The 25,887-nt window shown below is 45.3% G+C and overlaps 1 protein-coding gene and 1 long non-coding RNA gene across 10 annotated transcripts in view, besides 8 other annotated features; one reads left to right on the top strand and one right to left on the bottom strand.

Annotated features, from left to right (window-relative positions):
* Window positions 6,807-6,856: a silencer, noted in NCBI's record as "silent region_6297". NCBI's record gives its function as "represses an Ori minimal core promoter by ATAC-STARR-seq in GM12878 lymphoblastoid cells {active_cell/tissue: GM12878}" and the evidence as "EXISTENCE:reporter gene assay evidence [ECO:0000049][PMID:35858748]".
* Window positions 7,240-17,976, bottom strand: LOC124903465 (uncharacterized). Its single transcript, XR_007064581.1, has 2 exons — window positions 17,795-17,976; window positions 7,240-17,423 (listed from the first exon to the last, which is right to left on the bottom strand). It is a non-coding gene; the product is annotated as an uncharacterized LOC124903465 (long non-coding RNA).
* Window positions 10,088-10,629: an enhancer, noted in NCBI's record as "NANOG hESC enhancer chr15:37398796-37399337 (GRCh37/hg19 assembly coordinates)". NCBI's record gives its function as "activates a minimal SCP1, AML or CMV promoter by ChIP-STARR-seq in primed H9 embryonic stem cells {active_cell/tissue: H9 hESC(primed)}" and the evidence as "EXISTENCE:reporter gene assay evidence [ECO:0000049][PMID:30033119]".
* Window positions 15,305-15,444: a silencer, noted in NCBI's record as "silent region_6296". NCBI's record gives its function as "represses an Ori minimal core promoter by ATAC-STARR-seq in GM12878 lymphoblastoid cells {active_cell/tissue: GM12878}" and the evidence as "EXISTENCE:reporter gene assay evidence [ECO:0000049][PMID:35858748]".
* Window positions 15,913-25,887, top strand: part of MEIS2 (Meis homeobox 2) — a 212,108-nt gene continuing 202,133 nt past the window's right edge. For 5 of the 9 annotated variants that reach the window (NR_051953.2, NM_170676.5, NM_170674.5 and 2 more), the window contains exons 1-6: window positions 16,675-17,769; window positions 19,025-19,257; window positions 20,794-20,935; window positions 21,610-21,660; window positions 22,647-22,697; window positions 23,494-23,643. Coding sequence is in view for 8 of the 9 variants with exons in the window: in NM_170676.5 (NP_733776.1) it covers window positions 17,758-17,769; window positions 19,025-19,257; window positions 20,794-20,935; window positions 21,610-21,660; window positions 22,647-22,697; window positions 23,494-23,643 (639 nt within the window). In the remaining variant the exon portion in view is untranslated. Of the gene's footprint in view, window positions 16,333-16,674; window positions 17,770-18,117; window positions 18,324-18,527; window positions 19,258-20,793; window positions 20,936-21,609; window positions 21,661-22,646; window positions 22,698-23,493; window positions 23,644-25,887 lie in introns of those variants that run through there. The other 4 variants (NM_001220482.2, NM_002399.4, NM_172316.3 and 1 more) reach the window with 4 other exon arrangements.
* Window positions 16,145-16,424: an enhancer, noted in NCBI's record as "active region_9197". NCBI's record gives its function as "activates an Ori minimal core promoter by ATAC-STARR-seq in GM12878 lymphoblastoid cells {active_cell/tissue: GM12878}" and the evidence as "EXISTENCE:reporter gene assay evidence [ECO:0000049][PMID:35858748]".
* Window positions 16,675-16,834: an enhancer, noted in NCBI's record as "active region_9196". NCBI's record gives its function as "activates an Ori minimal core promoter by ATAC-STARR-seq in GM12878 lymphoblastoid cells {active_cell/tissue: GM12878}" and the evidence as "EXISTENCE:reporter gene assay evidence [ECO:0000049][PMID:35858748]".
* Window positions 17,894-17,953: a silencer, noted in NCBI's record as "silent region_6295". NCBI's record gives its function as "represses an Ori minimal core promoter by ATAC-STARR-seq in GM12878 lymphoblastoid cells {active_cell/tissue: GM12878}" and the evidence as "EXISTENCE:reporter gene assay evidence [ECO:0000049][PMID:35858748]".
* Window positions 18,104-18,303: a silencer, noted in NCBI's record as "silent region_6294". NCBI's record gives its function as "represses an Ori minimal core promoter by ATAC-STARR-seq in GM12878 lymphoblastoid cells {active_cell/tissue: GM12878}" and the evidence as "EXISTENCE:reporter gene assay evidence [ECO:0000049][PMID:35858748]".
* Window positions 21,623-22,484: an enhancer, noted in NCBI's record as "OCT4-NANOG-H3K27ac-H3K4me1 hESC enhancer chr15:37386941-37387802 (GRCh37/hg19 assembly coordinates)". NCBI's record gives its function as "activates a minimal SCP1, AML or CMV promoter by ChIP-STARR-seq in naive H9 embryonic stem cells {active_cell/tissue: H9 hESC(naive)}" and the evidence as "EXISTENCE:reporter gene assay evidence [ECO:0000049][PMID:30033119]".

Below are 25,887 nucleotides of genomic sequence, written 5' to 3'. Positions count from 1 at the left end.
AAGGAAAAGTATGGATAGAGAGAGGGACAGTGGGAGAGCAGGGGAAAAGAGAATGAGTTATTGTCAAAGAAATGAGTCTCCACAGAAAATGGATTGTTTCAGGAGGACAACTGAATTTAGAGCATAGATGTGAACTGCACACTCTGAGGACTTCTTCCCTCAAAAATGGACTATTCAAGAGGAACCAAAAATGACTGGGGATTAATATGGAGATTGTCATGACTGTGTATATATAGAGAGAGGTTAATATATTAATAATATATACAATAACATTGTATCACATATAATTTATATTAAATATATATGGTTCAGGAATGCACACATAGCAAAACTATTAACCAAAAATTCAGAATTATGGTTACCCTAGGGGAAGAAAGCCAAAAAATGAAAAGGAAGGAATTTTTGTCATGACAGAAAGTTCAAAAGTGAGAGAGGCCTTGGGATGCACACTTAAATATGTTCATATCCTCTGGTCTATTTTCAGGGATCCATTCTAAGAAATCATCCTGAATTCTGAAAAACTTTCATACCCAAAGATGCTCATTACAGAATTACATATAAAAATGAAAACTATGTATAAATAAACTTAGTACCCAGTAACAGTGGAATGAAAAAGTAAACCATTTTACTTCATTGATGACATCTATTTAAATAGAGTCATAAGGAATTTGAATACTTGAGCAAATTGTATGCAAAGTGCAATTACAACTACATGTAAGAAATTATGCATTAAAAAAATACACAAAATACACTAAAATTTTGGCAGCAATTGCATTTGGATACTTTGCTCATTGGTCATTTCTTTCCTTTTATCTTTTCTGCATTGCTACATTGTCTTTTTTTTTTGAGATGGAGTCTCACTCTGTTGCCCAGTCTGTAGTGCAGTGGCGCGATCTCAGCTCACTGCAACCTCTGCCTCCCGGGTTCACGCCATTCTCCTGCCTTACCTTAGCCTCCTGAGAAGCTGGGACTACAGGCGCCCGCCACCACACCCAGCTAATTTTTGTATTTTTAGTAGAGACAGGGTTTCACCGTGTTAGCCAGGATGGTCTCGATCTCCTGACATTGTGATCTGCCTGCCTTGGCCTCCTAAAGTGCTGGGATTACAGGCGTGAGCCACTGTGCCCGGCCTGCTACATTGTCTTTAGTAAATATGTACTACTTTGAAAACAGGAAAGCAAATTAAAAGATACATGTATTAATTGTATTAGTTTACAGTTTAATACATTTATTAAAGTGGGTTGAAGATCAAGAAAATCAGGATATGACTAATGAATTGGCAGAAAATAATCAAGAAACCAGAAAACACAATAAGGGCCACAAGGAAGAAAGAATCCTTTGTATTTAACAGAGGGTAATATAGTGGGTTTAAAAAAACTGAATCTCTACATTTGAGCTGTTGAAAGTAATTTTCAGTTCCACATTGTAGCCATAGATGTGGGTGGCTAAAACGGACATATACGTGTGCATACACACACACACGTGCACACACACACACAATGTGAGTGGGAATGGATTTGGGGATATGAGGTGGACAAGAAAACAGTGGACCAAGTGGGGATGATCAGGGTAAGTGGACAAGAGCAACCTGAATGAGAATTAGCCAAGATAATGTAATTTTGTAGTTTGAACTTCAACAAAGATTCACAAATATTTAGCAGCATTACCATGGTAAATTATACTTAGGCATCAATTAACGTTGAGAGAGAAATAACCAATTTTGTAAAGACTGTGTAAAAACAAATAACCTGCTTAAATTGTGTTCTATTTATTAGTATGTTCAATTGTATATGAATGCATCCTAGGTCCTAAAACAAATGGCCCTACTTCATGTTTCTTCTTCACAAATACGTTCCGACTTAGTTTTCAAACTGTATATCTATATCTCAAATAAGCCTGGTCCAATTCATTATACAAATAAGACACAATTGGTAAAGTACATGAATGAAATCTCTGAAGATGGCATTTTTCAAGTGAGTCTCTGTATAATATCACCTTTGAAGTTTATTCTACTTTTCTTATCATACACTCTAGTCACCAAGGGAAAATTTATTTAAATGTTTCTGTTTCCACATATACCTCAGCCAACCTCCTACAGTAAAAAGTAATGCAATATTGTATGTGCTTTTTTGGTTTTATTACTAATGTATATACTAATAAAAGCTAAATCTTAATTCATTAGTATCATTGATAATTTGGAAGAATATAGAAGGCTAAAATGTAATTGAAATGAAACACATGACTCTTGCAAAGACTTAGTTCTGACCTAAGAAAGCCTCTTCTACTCTCAATTCCCCGTACCCCACTCAATCTCTTTAAGTCTCCCATAGTAGCCTAGGTATATTTCTACTTTTGTTCATACCAAAATCTTTTTATACGCCTGCCTCTGTTTTCCTCTAAAAACCCATTGAAGCTGAGAATATATTTAATTAATCTTTATATGTCAACACTCATAAAAGCACCTAGAGAATATTGCAAGCTTAATGAATATCTATTTGAACGACTGAATGGATGTAGGAATTAGTGATTGAATATTTTCTATCCAGTTATTAATGCTATTACATTACAGAACATCTCTGGCTCAGGATTCAGTGTTCTGGTTCTATATGAGTTCACAGCAGAGTATTATATTTTAAAGAATTATAAAGCTCATACTTCTACACTGCTAATCCAAAAATCAGCCTTTATTTAAAAATTAATTTCAGTGTACCCTATATAGTCTTAAAACATTATTATGCCTCCTGATAAAACTTCAAATTATATGTTCATAAATTTGTTTTTAACCTGTCAAGCATACATTGCGCCCCCTGTTACATACCCATTTTATTGTTATTGAAATCACTGGATTCTAAATTGCAATGGCATTCCTTTATTTCAGCAGTAATTTAGCAGGGACAAGCCCAATGATACATGGAAAATGCTTATTACCTCCTACACCTCTGCCTCTAGCTCGTCTAACCCTTTTTCCAACATCTATGAAAATAAGAGTTCCCTCCTTTCTCATCTGTTTTGCTCAACAAGATGCAGAGGGAAGAACAATGAACTTCAAGCAGGCAGTTCAGGGATTTGGTCCCAGGATTGTTACTACCTTCAGTTAATTAGACTTTGAATGCTTCTCCTAACAGTTCTGAGTTTCCATTTCCTCCTATATAAAATGAAAGGGTTGCACAAAATGATAATTGTAAAAATAAATAAAAGCTCTATTTATTAAGCTTTTACTATATGCAAAGAACTGCACTATGTGCTTTACATGCATTATCTCATTTAATTTTAATCCTCTAAACACGTTTATAAGGTGTATCAGTCAAGGTCCAGCAGGAAACAGATGGTACACATCAAATTGGGTAATTTGAGGAGAGCTTAATAAAGGAACTTTATTAAAAAGGTGTGAGCAGGGTGTTAGGAAACCACGAGGGACAGTACACTGCCCCAAGGCTAGTACTGGAGAAGGACATTGTTACCTAAATCCAGAAATGGAACTCTGGGAAGAAGACTGCTTGAGCTGTGGCTGGAATGCAGCCAGCCCTCAGGGACCCTGGGAATCAGCACCCAGACCTCGCTCTGCCCACTCTAGGCAAGCCCAAGAGGAAACAAGGGCCATTCTAAAACCATCCGTACCAGCCTTCAGGGGCACAAACCAGGAGGGGGAAAGTAAAGGGTGGACCTGCAGGGGCTGACAAATGTGTCCAGTAATATCAACCATTGTTATGCTGAGTTTATGCATGAGGTTAGTAGAGTTTAGAGGAGTCAGGTGACTACTAAGAGTTCACAATCAGCACAGGCCAGACCTAGTATTCAGCCCCTTCCCGTCAGACTCCAGAGCCTGAGCTCTTGATGGCTTTTTAGCCCTTGGAGTCCCTTTTTGTCTTTCTAGGGTTAAAAACAGCCTCAGAAGTGATCTGATTCAACCCTCTCCCTTAGAGATGTTTGAATAAGATGTCTCTCCATTTAGGACATGAGCCTTGCAGAGACCTCAGTCGCCTTTGAAAAGCTAGTGGTCTGTGTGCTCATTCTTCCTGTTCCAATACTGTGGCTTGTATCCTGACATGTAATTTTGATTTGTAACCCTGAATGAGACACTTGTAGAGACAAAGTTGTCAGGCAGTCAAAAGGAGAGAATGGCATTTTTTACTATTAAAATTTTTTCTTTCTTCTGACATTCTCTCCTCATTAAGCAAACTTAAGGAATTTTCCATTGACGAAGAGTTGTCTAGTGAATAGCTTTGCTTGGGGTCAAGGTGGAGAGTAGGAAGGGCAGTAAATTGATGACTGGATTTTCCAATTTCATGTGCTGGAGTCAGAACACAGCCCAAGACTCTGTTAAATGTGTTCCAGTAGACTATGGAAGAAGTGAGCAGAAGGCAAAATGTTTAAATGCAGTGAAACTAAAAACTACCATTAAACATATTCTTCAATATTCCTATGAGGGTCCTTAAGATAAGAAAAGGAAAGGAAATTCTCATAGAATAGTCAGAGGTTGTTAATTACTCTTTGCGTGAGAATTAAATTTGCTGAAGAGGGACGACTGAAGTAATTATCTGAGGTCAAGGGCCCTATCCCCAATCTGTCTGCTCCTCTGTCAAATAGAGATTTAAAAAACCCATTCAGTACTCTTAGTAATGGGAAACTCTTCCTGTATGTACAAGCACTTTTTGGCCTACAAACAGGTTGTAGTCTAAGATGGTCTGTAACTCAGTTGTTGGGAATATGAGGCAAATCTTCTAAAAGCCAGGGTGTTATAAATTGTGACTCAGGGCTGGACCAACCTTCGACAACCGTTTAAATCTCGAATCTAACTCAGTGTGAGTTGCAAAACTACTTCCTGGTATGAAGCAAGAGGAAAATGACAATACTGAGAACTCAGTGCTTCTGTCCCAGGTCAGGTCCTGAACCTGGCATGTTCTCACTGCCCCTCACACTCTAGCACCTTGAGGCTCAATGCAAGAATGGAACCTGAAAGTTTCAGGCAAGTGCCATGATTTGCCATCTTCATTACTAACAGGATGTAGGAAGCTTTCATGGGTGAACAGTGGCCCAGATATCCCTCCCCTCGAACTCAAAGGCCCTTTTTGTTTGTTTGCTTTTTACACCAGAGTGAAGGATAAAAAGTGGAAGAGTTATATGTTTGTTTTTGATTATTTGGAAAACTTTCCGATTTTAGCAGAATGTCTGCCTACAAGTAAAGAGGATCTGTGAATGAAGAAAAGGAATGGTTTGATTACCTTTTTAAAGATTATCCCCATAGGCAAGGCAGGCCTGAGAGTGCGCTCTGGGAGAGAAAGTTCAGTTTGGGGTTCCCTTTTAACTAACTGGGTAATACAGTATTGAGAGATTGACTCTTCATAGGAAATCTTCAAAAACCTGGCTACAGAACGTCTTTTTTTGAGGAAAATGATTTCCCTGCCATTGAACCCTAGCTAAGCAAGACTTTTGAGATTGCTTTAATCATCAGCGGCTTCAGTGTCTTGGTAGTGAGTGAAAACGGGATTAGGGTGGAATAAGGGGGAGAAGTTTCCAGTGACCCGTGGTGAACCAGTGTTAAGAGACCTCCCCCCTTCAAATAGGCCCTGCATGTGTAAAAGTCAATTTCTACTTTATGAGGGATTAGAACCAGAGAGCGGCTCATATTTAAACCCTGCAAAGATAAGGAACGGTGAGTTTACCCCAAATTAGCTTTCAAAATAGCTCTGATCTAGTAATTTGCCCAGTAATTTCCCCAGACTGGGGCAGGTCTGAAGAATTTAAAAAGAGGAGGAAGTGGTATCTGATAAACCTATGGTTTAGGATAGCTGAATTTGGGGTGGAGGGGGGAGTGGAGGAAGAAGGTAAAAGAAGAGGAAGAAATGTGGGGAAGGGAGAGAGAGAGGAGGGAGAGAGAGAGAGGGAGAGAGAGAGAGAGAGAGAGAGAGAGAGAGAGAGAGAGATCGAACTCCACCAGGTTGCCTTCATTTCCCCGCAAGATTTCACCCACTATGAGCTTCGGTTGTTGCTTTGTTTATGCAAAGTTAGTCGGCCTGAGACACAGGGAAAGTGCTGAGATCCACGCTGAAGAACGCAAAAATGATTTTTAAAATGTAAATGAAACCACGCACACACACACACGCACACACACACTGGGTCGGGGCAATCCCTGCCCGTAGACTTAGAAATGAAAACACGCCGAGGAGGGCGGGCGGGAGGCCGCGGCAGCAGCGGGGAGCGTTGTCGGTGACCGAAGGAGCTCTGGTGAATATCAGGTTCGGATTAGTGACAACTCAGAAGTCACGCCGGCGGTTGGGGGAGGGAAGTTTGCCAAGGTCTCAGAACTCGACGGAAGAGACAGCGGCTTCCCTTGGCGCCGGGCGGAGCGGGGCGTACGCAGAGAGACCTCTGTCCCGGCCCGAGCCAGCTCACCCCCAGCTCTCACACCCCGCCCTGAGATTGAGTTTGTCAGCGATCATAAAATGGGAATTGATTATTCCAGCCACCATTGATTAGGGAAGAATGCTTACTGCAGCAGCGGGGAAAAGGTTAAGAGGAAATTGACCTTCTTCCTAGGTGACATAAAGTCATTAGGTAAATGAGATATTCACACTGGAGTTTTAAAAGGTCACGCTCAATTTTTATTTGTAGCCTGAAGAGTCAAGCTGGAGCTGGGGCTTAGGGCAGGGACCCCGCTCTTCTGGACAAGCAGACCGACAGGGAGACAACTGTCTTGCTGCGCTGGGCAGGGCCAAGGTGGGAGGTGGGTTATTGTCTGGGGAGGATCGCACTGGAATTGGTGGAGTCCCGGGCCCCCGAACTCTGCGCCTCCTGCCTGACCCGTGTGTGCGCCTCTGTGCATGTGTCCCTCTGGGGCCCTGCGCTTCGCGCGGCGTCTCCTCCGTTCCAGTCACCCGTCAGCAAAGGGATGCCGGGCAGAGGCAGACGATTACAAACACTTACCCTACCATAGCCGGCCACGTATCACACAGAGTGAAAGTGTTTTGTTTTGTTTTTTAAGGAGAGGGTGAGAGATATATTTATGCACATATTTATCCCTCTAATTATAGGAATTAATCCTCTTACTTATGACTAAAAGGTAACGTGGAAGGACGTCTCTTTGATGTGGAAAAGCACCATTTGTGACTCACATTCAGACTGATTAAGGAATAATTGTTGTTAAACGCTTTACAAGAGGAGAGTGTTTAATTGAGGGGCATTCGTAATTTTACGGCTTAGTACGAAATTAAACGTAATTAAAAACTCAGAAATTCCAACTGATTTTCCAATTATTTTTATTGTCTGAGTTAATTATTACACAAGGGTATCACTTTGCCCTAAAGGCATTTTTTTAAAAAGCAAGCATACCTTTTCCAAATATAGCAGAGAAGCGATTCAAAGCTTTCTCCAGGTACAAGCCTGGTAAAGGACCTTCCTTCTTCACTCCCCTCTCCTTCGGTCCCCCGCGCGCCCCTCCTTCGCCTCCGGTAATTAAGCGTTTCAGCCACTCTCCCCTCTCTCTGAGTTCCTGCAACACCTTGGGATGTGAGAAAGTGATGGCAGTTCTCTTCTGCAGATCATTACAGCAAAACTGGAAGTATCTGTAGAAGGCTGATGAATTTCTTGCAGTAACACTTGTCATACATGGCGGCGAGATTTTTTTTAAAACAAGCTAAGTAAACACAGCTCTCTGGGGGCGATCCCTCGATGCCTCTGCCTTGGGGTGTGTGGCAGGAGGGAGGTAACACCCAAGTACCGACTGGAAGTTGTTTATAAACTCGCACACGAAGACGTACAGATGCACGCTGGAAACTTTCTTTGGTTTGCACTTCTATTTCTTTATTTATTTACTTATTTGAAAGAAGGATGGGTATGAAAGAGCTTCTCAGTTAGATTATGAATGTTTTTTTAATGCTGGGATTGACGGCAAAAAGCCAAGCTATGTTTGTATGTGTAGCTTCTTTAAATGTCCAAATAGACTTATTTAAGTACATCAAAAGGTTTACAGAAAGTGCTTCAGTGTTATGGAAATGAAAACACATCCTCACAGCTAGTCCAGAAGTGGCCCTGTCTTCCCTATCAGACTTGGGTATCTTTCCTATCAAACCCTGAAAAAAAATAAATAAAAAACATAAAATTGGGGAGAGCGTGGATTTATAAGTTTCAATTCATCTGGACGGAGAGTATGGAGCGATGGAATGTTTGTGTTTCAATAAGTCTTTAATTTCTCTGAGATTTTTAGGACAGGGACTTCAGTGGATTCTAGCTTTCTATCCGCTTTCTATCCCTTTCCCCTCCACACCCCATAAAATAAATGATTGCCACTGATCTGATGTGCCAGGTGAAAATGGGTAGAATTAAAACTATCAATTCTGTTTCCAACGTGTGTCTTTCACTTGAGTTCAAAAGCTTTTAAAGTTAAAACGTGCCGATCATTTATAAGTATTATTTCTTTTTCTACCATCGAGGCTTTTAAGTAAAAAGAAAGAAAAGGTGTTTACATTTCCAAATTCATTTTCCCTGGAAGATTTCAATCTGCCAGGTAATTTGATGATGGACCCTTACGGTATGAGAACGTCTACCTGGTGAAGCCTGGTTTACCCGAGTGCGGCCAAGTACACTCAAGTCCAGTTTTTCCGTTTTTTTACTCCAATGGTATATTTGGAGCTGGGATGTGGATATTTAAATTCGAAGCTTTCCAAGTGCCTCAGTACTATTTTGAAGAAGAGGTTAGAGTAGGCAGAATTGGGGAGAAAGGAAGAAGGATCTCTTTGAAAGTTAGAGATGGTGAAAAAGACATGTAATCCGATGTGGAAAATTGAGTAAAAGAGGTAGTGCACACTTTAGCTTAGGCAAAGATTGCTGAATCCTTTGAAGAAACTGACACGGATTTTCCAGAGATGGGGTGGGTGTAGGGGGGGAATCCTAGGGTGGGCATTTTATGTAAATTAGCATATTTGAAATATAGTACAAATCCAGTATAGTAAAACTGACAGTTCTGACAGTATTGACAACATAAATATATGTTTGAACACTGCATTTTCAGACACTTAACCGATGAAGCAATAAAAAAAATTCGACTACAATATTTCAAATAATCGACATTGATGTTTTGATACATCTTTTTATACTCCAAATCGATCTATCACTCTGGGGCTGGTCAATTTTAAGTAAAAATGTGCTGCTATTATTTGTACCTTGGCTAATGATGACCTAATAACAGTCCCCAATTAATTACACCCGAACCGTGCTTTTTTTTCCTTCTGCAATGGAGGTGGGGGGCAGTTCTTGGAAAACAGAACCCACTATTGTGCCATCCTTCCCCTCCCTTGTATTCCATGTTTGCCACGGGTGGGGGTGGGACTTCAGATTTAGGAAGGGGTCTTTGTCTGGTTGATCATAGACGTCACAGGCTGAGGTCCCCTCACCTGAAATAACCACCCTCTGGGTCTGTATTGGGAATACGGTCCTCACTTTTACTTTGCAATGTCAAAACTAAATTTTAGAAAATTCAATCATAACTCTCCTTCAGGTCCCATGTCCTTTCCTCTGTTTCAAGGACTAGATGGAAGAGATTTGCTCAAAGATTGGAAATTTCTCTCGGGCTGTGTGTGTATGTGCGTGTGTGTGTGAGAGAGAGAGAGAGAGAAGAGAGAAGACAGCGCGCGCCACATGAGAATTTTAATAAAGTAGGGACACAGCCAGGTCCAAATCTAAAGCACCTAGCCTGAGTAGAATCTCTCCCACAGCCCCATCCCCTCTGACCTCCCTACCCGGCGTTCGATTGTTTACCGGCTACTGAAGAAAAAAAAAAAAAGCTACAAATAAGAAAGACAATGACCTGCAAATTGCAGGAAAGCAGGGAGGAGACTGTTGGGTATTGCATCCCAGGCGTGCCTCCTCCCGCACTATGACTGTTGGCTTTCTCTCTTTGCCCTGTGAGTTTTCCAGTTCTTTCCCACTCCTCTCCAGATTTGGTGGAGGTGGGGGGAGGGGGAAAAGAGATAAAGCTGATTAATTGAAGGAGTAAACAATCCTGGACAGGCCTAGATACAAACTCGAGCAGTCCATTGTGAGGTACGGATCGGGCAGAGGCGGTGGAGGACCGCTCGCACCCCCACTCCGACTCCATCTCGCAGGCTAGGCGCCGCGCCGTGCTGTTCCCCCCCCCGCCACCCCCACCTCCCCCGTTAAGCCCCGACCCTTCCTCAATCTCGCACTGAGACTCGGCCTTCTGACCTAAAACTGAGCTGGGCTCCTAGCCCTGAATTCCAGTGTCTGATTTCTTTCCTCCAAACTTCATGAATGCAGTTTTAAGCCTCTCCAAACCACCGCCAGCTGAGACGCTGGGACTTAAGCGGCACGCTAAGCAACTTTAAGATGCTAATCAAAGGCAAAGGATGTGTGTGATCCGCGCTGGGTAAGGGGGAGGAGGGATCAGAAAAGAGAGATCCGTCGCCAGAGCATCTCCCACTTGCGAGAGTTACTAGCCTCTGGCCGGGGCTTTCCAAGCCGCCTGCGCTGAAGTAGGGGTAGGAACTAGACAAGAGGCCGCAGGAGGACAGAAAAAAAGAGGAAAACAATCGAGCGGAAGAGACGAGAGAAAAAGCAGGAGAGAGGAAGAAAGAGAGGAAAGAAGAGAGCGCGGGAAGGAGGAAGAAACAGTGAGAGCAAGCGCACGTCGTGTTTGGAGCCCCGCCAGATAGCGCTAGAGGGCTATTTATTGAAGTCCTTTCTATGAGATGGTGAAGCCCCTAAAATTGGGAGAAATAAAAGAAAAGGGGGCATAAAGGAAAAAAGTATAATAATTTTACTCCATTTTATTTAAAAAATAAAGTGTGGGGTGCTTAAACGTTATTAATGGGAGGAGGCGGAGAATAAATCATTATAGAAAGTTTAAGTGGGAAAAGGACCAAAGAACCAAAAACCACCACCACCACCACCACCACCACCAACAACAACAAAAGCAAACAAAAAAGTCCCCTTCCTTCTGTTGATCCCAGCTAGGAAGAGTGAGTAAAGTTAACAGGTAAGGAAGCCAGTGGAATTATTTCTAGGCCAACTTTCAGAGCTGCTGGTTACACTGCTGGGAAGGTCAAGAATAGTTCACAAGGATGAGCCGATGTTTATGGAGAAGGGATGTTTTAAAAGTAATAGATGGCTGCAAGGGGTGGAGAGGGAAAGACAAACACGTTATTGGAAACGCCAAATAAAATATATATCAAAAATTCCAACTGTCAGCCAGCAGGTCTTGAACAGAAGATAGCCCCTTCTGCCTTTGTCCCAGCGATGCTGGGCTCAGGGCTGTTTCTGCAGGGCTGAAATCAAACTCCTTGAATAACAATTTAGAAATACTCTGAGACGCTTGGAGAAAATAACTAGACTACAAAAAAAAAAAATCACTGTGTCATTCAGAACCCAAAGAAAAGTGCTGGGGATGGAAAGAGAAGACCTAGTGACAGAAGTGGAGTCCAGAGAGAGAGAGAGATGGAGAGAGAATAACATATTTTTGATCACTGTTACTTGCTCAGTTCAGTAATGCAAGAAATAAAATTTCTTTCAAATGATACTTTACTTTTAAGTATTGACTTGGTTTTATCCTAAAATCTCTGGCATTTCACATATCTAGCTTCTCATTTTAAACCTGAATTTTCCTTTTACCTGAAGGAATTTTTGAAAATCAAAGTAATAATTCATGTCTTTTTTCAAAATCAGTAAAGAGAACTTCCCTCCCGGAATAAAAATTAACCTTACAGAGTTTTTAAAGATATGCTTAATCCAAAATATTCCAAATCAAAACATTAAATAAAGTTACAGATAAGATTAAGGTTGGACTTATTTGCTTCTCTAGCAAGGCGTCAATTGTTCTAACTGTTGTAAGAAGACAAAAAGGATTTAAACCTGGCGATTTTAATACACAGATTAACACTTTGGACTTCTCAGTTCTGAGGAATTTGAAGTTATCTGTGCTAAGAAGCTATAACTTTCAAGGAAAAGAAAAAGAAACAGCTACACAAGCTCCTTAAGGAGTGTGGGCAAATTCACCTAGAGTCTGGGTTCATAAATTCTTGGTTCAAATTAAACACTCCCCATAAAGCCAATGCCCTTCAAATTAAGGGACTATAGTGGAATTCAATTATTCCTTTTAAATCTTAAATGTTACCTATAATAGCATTCCATGTTGGCTCAAAAAAAGAAAATGAAAAATAGAAAAGTAGCAGTTTTCAGAACTCTTGGGGCTGCTTCAATAAGAAAGAGGTGATTAAAAACAGACTCTTAAATTTGAGAGGCCCGATTCCCCCTTCCACTGGTCCCCACCCGCTTGGTCCCCTCCTTTTCACCTCTTTTTTATGCAGTACCCCCACCCCCACTCCAGAGCTAAGTAGCTGATTTGGGATTCTGAAGAAATAGGTTTCACCATCCATATTTGTTCTGGGGCACTTGTAAAATGCGATTTGTAGAGGGTCTTTAGCCTTCTGATTGTCTTTGAATTGTTTTTACTGAAACAGATCTTTTGCAGTTAATGAGTCCCCACGCAGCTGGACAGCTCCTCTCGGACACTGAGAACTCTAACCCCAAAATGACCCCAATTTGACACCGCAAGATGAAATTTTACCGCCTGTTAAAACCATTTCCAGCCTGGGCAGAAGGAGCTGACTGTTGACGGAGGTGTGTGCCACCTCCTGCGACCCCCATTTCGTGCCTGTCTCCCGGGCCTGCCCCACCTACTTTCCTTTCACCCCAAATATGGGAGAGCAGATGAGCCTGGAAGCCTGGGTGGGAGTGCCAACGCTGACAATGGGGCATTAGCAAAATGCCACCAGGATGGAAATCAGTAAGTGCGGGTACCCTACTCCTTTGGAATCGCTTCTATTGGACTGGAAAATTGGGGATGAGGGAAACCAGGAAATTCTTATATGTTAGATGAGCCTTTTTCAGCTCTATTAATAAAACACCCGCAAGTTGCTGATTAAAGGTAATAGTGTTTTGAATTCAGCAGACTGACCAAGAACCAATACCTTGAATCGACTCCAACTTGATCTCCTCATGTGTAATCCACTACACTAGGACTGCTATTTTAAACTAACAGTTTCATAAGTGACATGCAACTAGATCAGTAAGATCTCTTTCGTTCAAAGAAATTCTGGGTTCTCCCCTGAGACAACTGGCAAATTTTAAAAAGACATAGATTTCCTCCAGTAGGAATGCACTTTCAACACTCTCACACTTTTTTAACTAAAAGTCGTTGAAGTTAAATATGACTTTTTGACAATATCTTAAAATGTCATATTTCTCTCTCCCTCCTACACCTAACCATATTGTTCCTGTTGTTTGCTTTAATGTATTCAATAAAATGCAAAAGAAGTTAAGAATATGAAAGAGAGAGACAGAGAAAGGCGTTAAGGTTAAAAATGCCTTCTGCATCTGATAAAAACACATGAAAATAAAGTTTAAACTTTTCTTTTTTTGTAAAACCCAAGATTATCACCAGATAATCAACTCATTATTAGCTTACAATTGTTTGAAAACATAGAAATCGGCCGGGTGCGATGGCTCACGCCTGTAATTCGAGCACTTTGAGAGGCCGCGGCGGGTGGATCAGGAGGTCAGGAGTTCGAGACCAGCCTGGCCAATATGGTGAAACCCCCGTCTCTATTAAAGACACAAAAAATTAGCCGGGCGTGGTGGCGCGCCCCTGTAATCCCAGCTACTCAAGAGGCTGAGGCAGGAGAATCGCTTGAACCCGGGAGGCGGAGGTTGCAGTGAGCCGAGATCGCGCCATTGCACTCCAGCCTGGGCGACAAAGCGAGACTCCGTCTCAAAAAAAAAGAAAAAAAAAGAAAAGAAAAGAAAAAAAGAAAAAGAAGATAAAGAAAGAAAAGAAAATATAGAAATCATCAATCTGTCTGAGTTGTTTTTACTCACACTGCAAGGGAAGGAATATTTTTCTAAAAATGCGACTTAAGTTTTTCTAAATGAAAGCTATAGAGATGCTAACTCACTTTACAGTATCACTATAAAAACAGAAAAAGAAACAGAAGGTAGCAATGTTGAATGTTTAAACCCTGCAAGGCAGAGGTTCCGCATGAAGTTGATCTTTACAAAAAAAGGTTTATCAAGGACACTGAGGAATTTCTTTTAAAAAGAAACGTAACTGGCACTTATTGAACAAGACATTTAAAACAACAATAATCCTATTGGCGACGATAAACTTAAATTCTTAAATTGAATTTAAGAATAATTAGAAGAGTAAAAACTGAGTACAAATTTCTCAGCCAGCGGCGCTGCACCGGGAACTTGGACCCACCAACATCAACAGCTTTGCAAAGTCGAAAACGCTCCGCAGCGTTTTTGTTTTTTTCCCCTCCCCACCCCGCCGCACTCTCAAACCTCCCGGTCCCGGCTAAACTGAATTCGCGTAACTGTCGATTGAAATAAAATTCTGGAGACCAACTTTTTCTTTTCTCTTTCATCTTCTTTTCTTTTTTACTCACCTTCTCTTAAATGTCGACGAGCAACTCAGCAACAAATAAGGATACTTTTAATCTTGGAGTTCTTCTAGGAAAAAAAAGAGGACGTGGAGGAAGTACCCTCCCCCCAACCTTCAGATTTCCTACCCGTCGGCTCTAGCAGGCTTGAAGCCCGGCAAAAAAGAGTGGCTGAAAACCTGGGCTACACTCTCCTCCCTGAAGCTCCGTGAGTCTGGCCGTCCCTGCTCGGGCCATTGGGCAGAAACCTCGCGGCCCGCAGCCCCTCTCCCTGGCGTCGCGCTATCCGCGCCTCTGCCAGCCCCTTCGCACTATCTTTCTTTATATGTGAGGGCCGATTTCCCGCAGACATCATTGTTATGATGGCTCATTTAATCAAACTGTTTAATTGCTCTGGTAATCACTATCATCATCACAGGTGCTCAATCATTCATCATTTTTGGAGGGCTTTATTGACCTCCGGAGTTCATTCCTCAGCCCTATTAAAACGAGGCCAAATTTCTCCGACTCCGCTTGGAGTCTCTGCAGGCTGCAATCTTAGCCTAGTTTCTGTTGCTCGAAAGCTTACAGTGAAGCAGGGAACATGGAACGGGGGCCAAAAAAAAGAGCCCTCCCACCCGCCCTCCTCCCCGCTCTCTCTCGCTCTCTCTCTCTCTCTCTCACACACAACACACACACAGAGTACTTTATTCTCTCTAATCAACCTCCCCCATCCCACCCTCCCTCCGCGGGAAAGTCGGTTAGACGCGGCTCGCGGAAGACACTACTCTCCACTTCTCAGAATGGGTTCAAAGTTGGGGAGGGATGCGGCTGTTGGAGAACAACAGTCCGCTTTCCACTCTCTGGGCCAGGGACTGGGAGGGCGAGAGCGAGAAGTTGGGGAGAGGACGCGCTTCCAGCGCCTGTCCGCCCGGCCGCGCCACAAGGGGCCGAGGGGCATGGGGGCTGCTGGGCGGCAAGGCTTGCGCGGGGTGACCGTGGCTCCGCCCCCAACTCCGGGCTCGTAGTGATTGACGCGCGGCCGCCGGGAAACCAGCCGCGCAGAGGTGAAGCCTGGTGCAGCTCGGGCCAGGGAGGACAGGGCACCGGCCACAACTAGTTTCCACCCAAACGGTGTGGGGTAGTTCCCTTCGTTTCCTTTTCCTTTTTGGAAAAGTTCTTTCGGAGCTGGCCCCATCTCCCTGACCCCGCGAAATCGCCCCTGTGTAATTAACACAGCCATTAGCAGGCGTTACCGCGGCCCGCCGCTGCGCCTCGGGCGACCACAACAAAGCTGGGCTGTGAGCGCCGGCCACTCCTCCTCGCCCGGCAACTTCTTTCTCCCCCACTCTCTCCGTCTTTTCCTCCTGTGCTTCCCAGCTCTGAGTGAGATCCACTTTGGAGACGCACACTAGTCGCGCGCGCGCACGGGCGCGCGGGCGCGCGCGCGCACACACACACACACACACACACACACACACACACACACACGCCTTTGGCTACATCGGACCCAGATGACTGCCTCCTCACTTCCTCCCTCCCGATTCCGCCGCGGCCCCCAAAGACTCTCGGGGTGGCCCCTTGTCCGCACCGCTTGGAGGGAGTGTGCTCTGAGTTAAGCTGGTCTCTTCTGGTCCTGGAAAAAAATGAGTATTGACAAGGTTGCTGGATCTGCGCAGAAAAGAAAGTGCCACTTAATAAAAAATTTAGCCCGGCAGTGGTACCGTCTGCAGAGCTTGCTGCCCTTGGACGTTAGCAGGAAGCCTTCGGGGTGCTGTAATCGGCGGGCAGAGGAGAGGGAGGCCGCGGAATTAAAAGGAACAAAAGCTAGAGCGCCATGCCAAACGTCCCCGGCAAGACCCAGTTAGGCAGGAGCCGGGAGTGATGGGAAAATGAACTAGAAGTAAGTTTTTTTTTTTTTTTAAATGAAAAGATCTGAGGCGGTACCGTACTTTCCCTGTGGTTTTCTGCAGTTTTCCTCTCTGCGCTCTCCCTGTCCTCTTCTCTCTCCCCCTCTCCCTCTCTCCCTGTTCGCGCGCGCGCGCGCGCAACACACACGCGCGCACGCACACACATACACACACACTCACACACACAGACACACTCTCCTTTTCCTCCCCCCCGCCGTCCCCCATCCCCGTGGAGGAGCAGGCTTGCTGATTTGCTCGGGTCCGCCCGGCTCGAGCCTCCCCTCCCCCTCCCGCCCCCCCGCCTCCCCCACCCCCCCAGCCGGGGCTGTCCGATCGCACTCGTTGCATATCAGAGGCTCGGCGCGGCGCGCTCCTCCTCGCTCCCGCTCCCCACTCCCGGGATGTGTCTCCGCCGTACGACGGGCTATGGCCACCACGACTTCCGGGTTCCGTCATTTCGTTCTCCCGCCGCCGACCCGCGCCGCCAAACTGAGGCTCTTCAATAAGCCAGGCAGCAGCCAACCTGCCAACACCTACTGACACTCACTCATCTCCCAGAGAGAGAAAGAGAGCGAGAGAGAGCGAGCGCGAGAGAGCGAGCGCGAGTGAGAGCGAGCGAGCGAGCGAGAAAGAGAGAGAGGGAGAGACAAAATACCTACCAGGAAAGGGGGGGAGGAAGTCCAATTTTTGCAAACTATTCATTTTTTTTTCTTGATTTTTCTCACTGCTTTCTTTGAACAATACTTTAAAGAGAGAGGATCGTATTATAGATACCGCGGGGGCAAAGCTAAAAAAGGGGGGAGGGGGGAGGAAAAAATTCAAGAAGCAGAAACCCCTCGCGGAGTTTTACTGGAAGAAAAAAACGGGTCTGAAAGATTCCTCCTCTTCATCATCATCAACCATCATTCATTCACTACCTTGACATTCCGGGCTTTGATTGACAGCTGGAGTGGCAAAAAGCCATGAAACACGACAGTTCGGTTACATGTGGGCTGCTGACGGGCCGCTCGTAACCTTCAGTTCGGGGGCTTGACAATTTTTTTCTTCTTTTTCTTCTTTTTCTTTTCTTTCTTTTTTTTTCCAACTGAGGGGAAGAGAAGAGAAAGAGGGGGAAAGGAGGACCGAAGAGGAGGAGGAGGGGAGGGGGGAGGAGGAGGAGGTGGAGGAGGAGGAGGAAGATCAGGAGGAGGAGGAAGAAGAGGAAAAAAGAGAAAAAGAAGAAATATCACAGAAAAAAAAATTCTTCGTTGTCTAGACTGGGCTTTTTTTCCCCCCTAAAAAATAGCATATTGGAGAATTGGGAGAAGTCTCTTTGGTTTGGAAAAAAAAAAAAGGAATCTTCAGCCTAGATCACTTTCTTATCCGGACTGGGATATTAAATATACGACACATCCAGGAGTTTATTGGAGCGCAGACTGATGGCGCAAAGGGTAGGTTTAAATCTCCAACACTTACCTAGATATAAATCCTCTCCTAAGAGGGGCCTGTCCCGATGCCTCCTCTCCCTTCAACGCTTCTGCTGCTGCTCGCTGCTTGATGATGGCGGCCAGTATTTTAAAAAATAGCAAAATTATTCATCGGCTTCTTTCCCTCCCGTGCCTCTGCGTGTGTGCGAGTGTGTGTGCGTGCGTGTGTGCGTGTCTGGGCGCGCGTGTTCCAGCGCTGTGCGAGCGGGCGGGCGGCGAGTGCGTGTGAGTGGTGTGTGTGTGTGCGTGTGCAATCGTTACACGCTTTCGCCTCGCTCCAGCTTTTACCCCAGCAGCGCGATTCCCCCGGTTCTCCTGCTGCCGCTGCTGCGCCGCTGCCGCCGTGGCTCGCGCGGCTCGGGGCGGGCACGGGCTGCGTAGGAGCCGCCGCCGGGGCCGCCGCTGGGGCCGCGCTGCCGCAGCCGCTGCGCCGCCGCCTAGACTACTAGCCTGGGCTGCTTGTTTTGTCTCTGAAATTGACAAGGACGCAGGGAATCCGCTGCTAAATAATGTTTCTGGTAACTTTCACGTTATTCGCCCCCCCACCCTCCGCTCCCTGCCCCCGGGGAGGCACTGGCCCTAGTCTTTCCTAGTCCTCGGCGTTCTCGTGCTGATTATTAGCGTTTTTCTTCTCTTTATTTTGTTTCATTTCGCCTTTTGATTTATTGGATCCTCAGAGGAGGCGAAGGGGGGTTAGGGGTGGGATCCGGGGCTTCCTCCTCACACTAACTCCACTTCTCCCTCCGTTGGCTCGCTACGGTTCTGTTGCCTCCGGCGGGAGCGGGGCCTCCCGGCGCCCCCTCAAATCCCCGGCCTCGCCGCCTCCTCTTCCTTCTCTAAACGTTGCTCTTGGTTCATGCTTTTTCATTTTTAAATTTAATAACATTTTTTCCTCACAACTTTTAACTCCGTTGTTTTGGCTGGTTTGGTTTCTGTGTGCTCAACTTGTGCTCGGTACTTTTCTCCTTTCTGACTTTGTTTTTATTTTTATTTTCTCTCTCTCTCTCTCTCTCTCTCTCTCTCTCTCTCTCTCTCTCTCCCCCTCTCCTCCTTTTCCTCCTCCTCCTCTCTTCTCTCTTACCTCCCTCCCTCTCTCTCATCTTTATCCCTTCCTCTCTTTTCTGTTCGCCCTCTTCTCCCTGCTCTTTTTCCCTTTCCACCCCCCTCCTCTGTTCTCCCTCACCTCCTGCGCCCCCTCCCCCTTCCCGGGTTCTGACAGTACGATGAGCTGCCCCATTACGGCGGGATGGACGGAGTAGGGGTTCCCGCTTCCATGTACGGAGACCCTCACGCGCCGCGGCCGATCCCCCCGGTTCACCACCTGAACCACGGGCCGCCGCTCCACGCCACACAGCACTACGGCGCGCACGCCCCGCACCCCAATGTCATGCCGGCCAGTATGGGATCCGCTGTCAACGACGCCTTGAAGCGGGACAAGGACGCGATCTATGGGTAAACTGACCCCCCGGACCCAGCTTACTGTGTGTGAGTGTGAGAGTGTGTGTTTGTCTCTGTGGGGGTGGGAAGGTGGACGACTAAGTGGGGAGTTACTTCTGTATGGTGGGGGGCGGGCGCCGCTTGCCTTAGGAAGGGACCGTGGAGGGGGCCTGCTCTTCTGCCCCTGGAGTCAAAGCCCCGAAGAACTAGCCTCTTTCGCTCTCACAGCCCGACCACTCCAGACCCCACAGCCTGGAGTGACTGAGTCCCCAGAATCTTGCCGGGGCCTTCTCCCCGAGGACAGGATTCCTGGCCAAAGGACGCAGGACTGCTCGTTTCAGGCTCCCTAACAGAGGCCTTGACGAAGGAGAAAGTTTCCTGCCGATGAGAAGCAACTTTGGGTTTTTTTATTTTTTACTTTTTTTTCTTCTGTTTCCTACTGAGGGTCTGGGAGTCACTAACAGCAGCTTGAGCTGGGATCAGGGCTGCTTCTGTCGGCCAGGAAGTCCTAATCACCCACTTCTTAATTCTCTGTAAATAAAGGGGGCAGACCTCGAAGTGCAGCGAGGTGGAAGGGACTCTTGCTTGCTTGGAGCCGCTCTTAGGGGGAGTAAGGAAGATGGCTGGAAATTATTTTATATTCTGAGAGCACTTGGCGAGGGGTGAGATGCACGATCCTAACGTGTACCACACGAGCTCTTCCGGCTGAGGGTAGGTGGGCAAAGCGACGGGATGCCGAGGGGAGGGGACAGTGGGTAAACAGCAACTGAGCCCCAAGCCAGAGGCCGCAAGCATCCCGAAGTGTGGCTAAGCCGCCCGGAGGAACACAAAGGGCATACGCGCACGCACACTTAAAGTTTTAAAACACGATTTATTTATTTTTGTCTGCTGCAACGCTGGGAGAAATGTGGTCTTTGGAAGGAAGCTCTCCAGTGTGTAACCTTCCTATTATTTTGGCCCCCACACTGTGGCTTTAGTAGAACAGGAGCAAACAAGTTTATAAGGCAAGGAGGTGGAGAGATTAAAAGAGCATTCTCTTGCATTTATGAAGTGTCACTCCGGTGTGTATGTAGGTGAAGCCTTTGGCCTCGTCTGAAATGCCCATTAAAATGCAGAGTTAAAACTATTTTTTTTTCAATTTCACACAGTGTTCCCTTCTTGGGAGGTCAGGGCTGGGTCTCAGGGGTTGGTTCCGCGGCCTCCGTAGTGTGGGGAGTGGATCAGAATCGACTCGGGCTCCAGACTGCCTGAGCGTCTCGGATGTTTCATTACGTTCCAACTGAGGCTGTTTTTATTTGTCGGGCTGCAGTGGCCGGGGTCTTCTCTGGCCAGATCTGAGGGACCTCTGAGCTGCGGGAGAGGGCCAGGCCCTTTTCCCTTTCTGTTTCTGGCTTAGGCTCGCCTGATGGAGGAAGGGTTGTAAAGTGTGGTGCGTGCCTGTTGTATTAAAGAAGGACTCCACACCCTCCAAACTTGTTGATTACAGTTCTTGCTCCTTCCCCTCTGCACCCCGTCTCTGTGTGTGTGTCTCTGCGTGGCGCTGCCCGTTAGGCACCCGTTGTTTCCTCTGTTAGCTCTGGTCTTTGAGAAGTGCGAGCTGGCGACCTGCACTCCCCGGGAACCTGGAGTGGCTGGCGGAGACGTCTGCTCCTCCGACTCCTTCAACGAGGACATCGCGGTCTTCGCCAAGCAGGTCCAGCCTTCTTGATCCACTCAACTTCGGGCAGTCCCTCACTACCCCTCCCCTTTCCTCGGAGCTTTACTTGAAAGGAGGAAAGGCCAGGGACACCCTATCTGTTCCTCTGGCCCAGTCCGCTCTCTACGCCTCCTCCCCATCCCTGAGCCTGGGGGCGAATTGGAAGTGGAGATAAATATGGGTGTTTGTTTTCCCCCCCAGCAGGAATACAGGGGTCGACCCTCGAATTAAAGTTGACCTGCTCCTAATCTGGGGCTTGGCCTTTTTCCCCCGCCTCCAGCTACTTGAACAAGAATTGGGGAGAGGGGCTGTGAGGGACCCGGGAGTGCCCGGGAGGCAAGGAAGCTGGGCGCCTCTCCGAGCGGTCCCAGGCAGCAGTGGAGAGCCACAGCCTCTTGGACTGCTGGATATGGAACTCGAGGCCCTGAGAACGACCCTGAGTTCCTGGCTACAGCTTAGTCGTACCAGGTCCCCCTTAATGGGGCCAGGACCAGAATGCCCTGATTCTTCTTCAGGGACTCCACTAATTTAAGGCACCAGTTTCTTTCTTGTATTTTGCCAAAGCCCCTTTCCTCTTCTCCGCCATTGCCCTCCACCGTACCCATTCTCACATTTCAGCTTTCTTATTTTAAATGGGGTGATCGTTCAAGTTGACTCTCTGTTTCTTACAGGTTCGCGCCGAAAAGCCACTTTTTTCCTCAAATCCAGAGCTGGACAATTTGGTAAGGCTCTCTGTTCCTTGTTTTTCCCCAGCCTTTGCCCTCTCCCATGCCCAGAAGCACCCACTTTCTGCTGGAGCTCTGGGGAGTTAGAACAGAACCCTCTTTTGGAGCTCTAGGGAGAGAGGGAGGAAGGGAGCAGCTTAGAGCCCCCGCACGGGAGCTGGCGAGCGAGGAGCAGGATGAACGCGGTGGGGAGCGAAGCCCAGGGAGGCCGAAACGGGAGACCGAGCGCCGAGAGCGCGAGCAGGGGATGTTTCCCAGGTCTCGGCCCCAGGAGTAAACTGCGAGAAGTGAGTTATTTCCTCTGTTTGCCGGGGCAGGCGGCCGAGCCCCGGGCGGCTAACCCGAAGGATGTAACCACTGGCACGGCTGAGGGCGGGCTGGGGGTGGGGGCTGGGGGGCGGTGAGGGGCAGGCCAGCGCAGGCCACTTTTAGGTGCGATTCTTTTGCTAATTTGCACGATTTCAATATTAAAAGTACTTAAATCCGCTTTCAAAGGCCCTGCCTCAGCATTCATCTTGAGTATTTCCTTCTTTAGTGAGGAAGGATTTCGCTGGGTATGCTGTTCTAAAAAGCTTTTTCTATCCTGAGAAGGGACCTTTTTTTTTTTTTTTTTTTTTTAAGGAAAAAAAAAAAAGTTGTCCTGAGGTCGAGGGAGGGGATGTTTAAAGAGGACTAAGAGGAGAAAAAAGGCCTGGCCCGAGGAAAGCAGTCTTACAAATAGCACAGTGAACATCAGGGGGAAAGATATTAATGCTTATGCTCAGGTTGAGTCAGATTCCTACCCCGTGGCCAATGAGGCAGAGATGATCAGTAATCACTTGATTTTTCTGACTATTTCTTGATGTTTAAGTTTTTCCTGGCCACCTGCCCGTTTCTTCTCCCCAGCCCAACTTTCTCACCACCATCCTCACCCCACTCCCAACCCCAAGACAGGACCTCAGAGTCACAGAGCTCTAACTCCATTCCCTGAACTTTTCTTTCAGATGATACAAGCAATACAAGTACTAAGGTTTCATCTTTTGGAGTTAGAAAAGGTAAGCAGGAAATAACGCTCCCCGTGTTGATTAAACCATTTCCCTCTCCTAGTTGAGTTGGGATGTTTTTAACAAACCTCTAGTGTGAGGGATTGAGCACCTGGAGATTTTGAGCATGTAACCATGTCCATCCTTCAACTCGCTTCTCAACACAGGGGCTCAGAGGGTGGGTGAATCAGGACAGCCTTGCCTTTAAAGTAGCCTCCTCCTCCCCAATATTCCCCTCAGGCATTCAGGATTATTTTGAAATGCAGCAAACCATTTATGTTACTGGACACTCAGCCTGCTTGCATCTTTATTAGCTCAGCTCACCCTCGGCCCTGGGTTTGCATTAGGTGCAGGCAGAGTGAATCATCCTTGCTGGGTGTCTTTACATTGCTCTGCAGCTCAATTACTTTCCCCTGGAAACATACGAAACCCCTAGCTTATAAAATCACAAACGTTAATGCTCTCCCCAGCTCCAATGTTGTAATGTTTTGATGTTATTATCAAATCAGATTTAATTCCCTGGACTCCCACTCTGAACCCAGTTATTTCCAGTCCTGTTTCTTTCTCTCTCTATTGTAACTTGTTGCTCAGAGAAGTCTCTGGAGAATAATATCTGCTGCAACAATTACTCTATTGTTTCCTTGCCTTCAACTATTACACCCTTTAATTAGAGTTAGTTTGGAAGACATCACACTGTTGCTCTTTGCAAATGTAACCTTGCAACCTGGTATTTTTCCTTTCTAAAAATGAAACAAAACAACAACAACAACAACATGAGCTAAACCCTCCACCATGACCTTCGTTCTAGGTCCACGAACTGTGCGATAACTTCTGCCACCGATACATTAGCTGTTTGAAGGGGAAAATGCCCATCGACCTCGTCATTGATGAAAGAGACGGCAGCTCCAAGTCAGATCATGAAGAACTTTCAGGCTCCTCCACAAATCTCGCTGACCATGTAAGTCTGCTAGCCTTTAGCAATCTTTTAAGGCCACTGGGCAAAGCATTATTTTAACCTTGTTTTAACATCTAGCTCCACTGATTTAGTTTTCTTTTTAAATGACTCCGTCTCTTTTGGGGTCTTTTCTTCTCTTTCTTGCTTTCTCTGCCATACCCTTCATTTTCATTTCTCCTTTCTTGGACCCCCTCCTATTTATGTTGAGAGCCAAAAAACCAGAGTTGATAGAGTGATTTGTGCTCTTAATGTGTAAAGTTTTCTGGATTTGGTGACTTGGGTGTTCGCAAATTCTGTTTGATATAGTCACCACTGTGTTTTCTGCTTTCTTAATTTTGTGTAATCAGTGCAGCAGGGATAGAAAGAAGCAAGACAGTTAGCTGGACTGGTCTGGAGAGAGAGGACTGAATGAAAGAGAATTGAGTGAGTGCTGATTTCCTAGTATGTCACAGAGATGACAATTCTGAGAATTATTGGCAATCTTGCACTGCATTCGAAATAAAAGGGGTGAACAAACACATTACAATTCTCAGGGCTTTTGCTATAGAAACTTATTGTCAGAATAGGGACTTATTGCCAAATGCCTGAAGCATCTTCATAATAAAAGACAGTAACCTTGATGAACCAATTATTAACAATGTATTACAGAAAGCTGAAGGGAATTATGATTGAGTAACCATAGGTTAGTGGTTGAATTTTAACACTTTAACAGTTGGTGAATGAGGATGGAGAGTATAGTAAGAAATGACTGTGTATGTCAGGCCAGGAAAGGAGATTTCTTTCTATTCTCTCTGTTTCTAATCCTATTTTGGAACCAATCTAGTGAGTCTGATGCTAAAAAAAAAAAAAAAAAAAAAAAAAAAAAAAAAAAAAAAAAAAAAAAAAAAGCATATGTAGTGAGACTGAAAATTTGAAAAAGAAGCAAAGAGAAGAAAGATTGCAGCTGGTAGGAAAGGCAAGAGTGGCGAGGTTAAAGAGTGGGTGTGAACAGCAGTTTTATTTATAGGAACTCAAGCCTGGAAATGGGGGACAGGGTGTCTATAGATTACATTCAGTTGAACTCACAGCCTAAATAATATAAGCTGTAGTTTAATAACTTTGTGGCCGAAATATTAATTTGACACTCCGTGTGAGTTAAACAGGCATTAAGGCTTGAAGGCAGTTTGTCCCTACCTCCCATCCCAATTCCTGACTGGTATGAGAAATGAATTGGGATGCCTTAGTATAAACCTTCTATGAGGTTCTTCTCTCCCCTGCTCCAGACAAAAGTTTTGAAAATATGCAGTCATAGATTTTCATAATTAACCTTTGCACTTGTATGGGAAGCCAGCCTAAGAACAAAAGTTAGAAAAAGTCTAGAAAAGAAAACCGCAGTCTGGGATATCCAGTTCTGTGACAGAATAAATACTGCGGTGTTGAAGGCTCCTATTCTTATCTCTTTACCCTTACCTTTTTCCATCATGGTGAGGGAATCTTTGGTGATCTCCTTTGTATATTGAGTGAATGTAATGAAATCAAAAGGATGCAGCAGTGGTTATGGAAAGTTTATTTGCTGATCTGTGGCTCCACAGTGTGTTGTGGTCCATGAGGCATGACACTACCTAAGAAATATTTACATTTGTTGTTTTTTGTGTGTTTATTTTCATTGTTTTCTGTTTCTATATTTATATTTATTCACATTATTGGGAGACTGGGGAGGGATCTATTTACATGGTTTGTAAAATGAGAGGTTCACAGTTCTCGGAGCCAAAAGCTTTTCTCATGATATTTCTAGGAGTACCTACTACTTAGTTTTCTAAAACAGTTTCTTGGCAACTCTTTTTCCAGTGGATGTATACAGCTAGACCATGTTGATGTTTACATAGAAAAGATAAGATAAAATAGGCTGTTTAAAGTATTGGCTGATAGACAATATCAATTTATGAGACTATTGTAATATTTAAATATCCACTCAAGAAGGAAGTTGTACCTAAGAGGATAGTGCTTTAATAATTTATCAATCATCATCTTTGGATAAAAGAGTCAACTGTAACATTTGTTGCTCTCCTTTCAGGCCCCCAGTCAAGTAAATATGACAACTGATTTATTTTGAACCCATGAGGGCTTGCCACTTCATTGGGTGTCATAATTTAAAGCCTTTTATTTCCTAGAGATCTGAACTATAACATTTTTACTTTAGCCCCCTGCTATTTGTTTTGAAAGGAAGCAATAATTTGTTCCACCAGCACACCAAGTAGAAAACGGAGA

This window comes from Homo sapiens, chromosome 15, assembly GCF_000001405.40.
Source record: "Homo sapiens chromosome 15, GRCh38.p14 Primary Assembly".
NCBI lineage: Eukaryota > Metazoa > Chordata > Mammalia > Primates > Hominidae > Homo > Homo sapiens.
The sequence above is the reverse complement of the archived record's forward strand: the minus strand, read 5'-3'. Positions and strand labels throughout refer to the sequence as shown.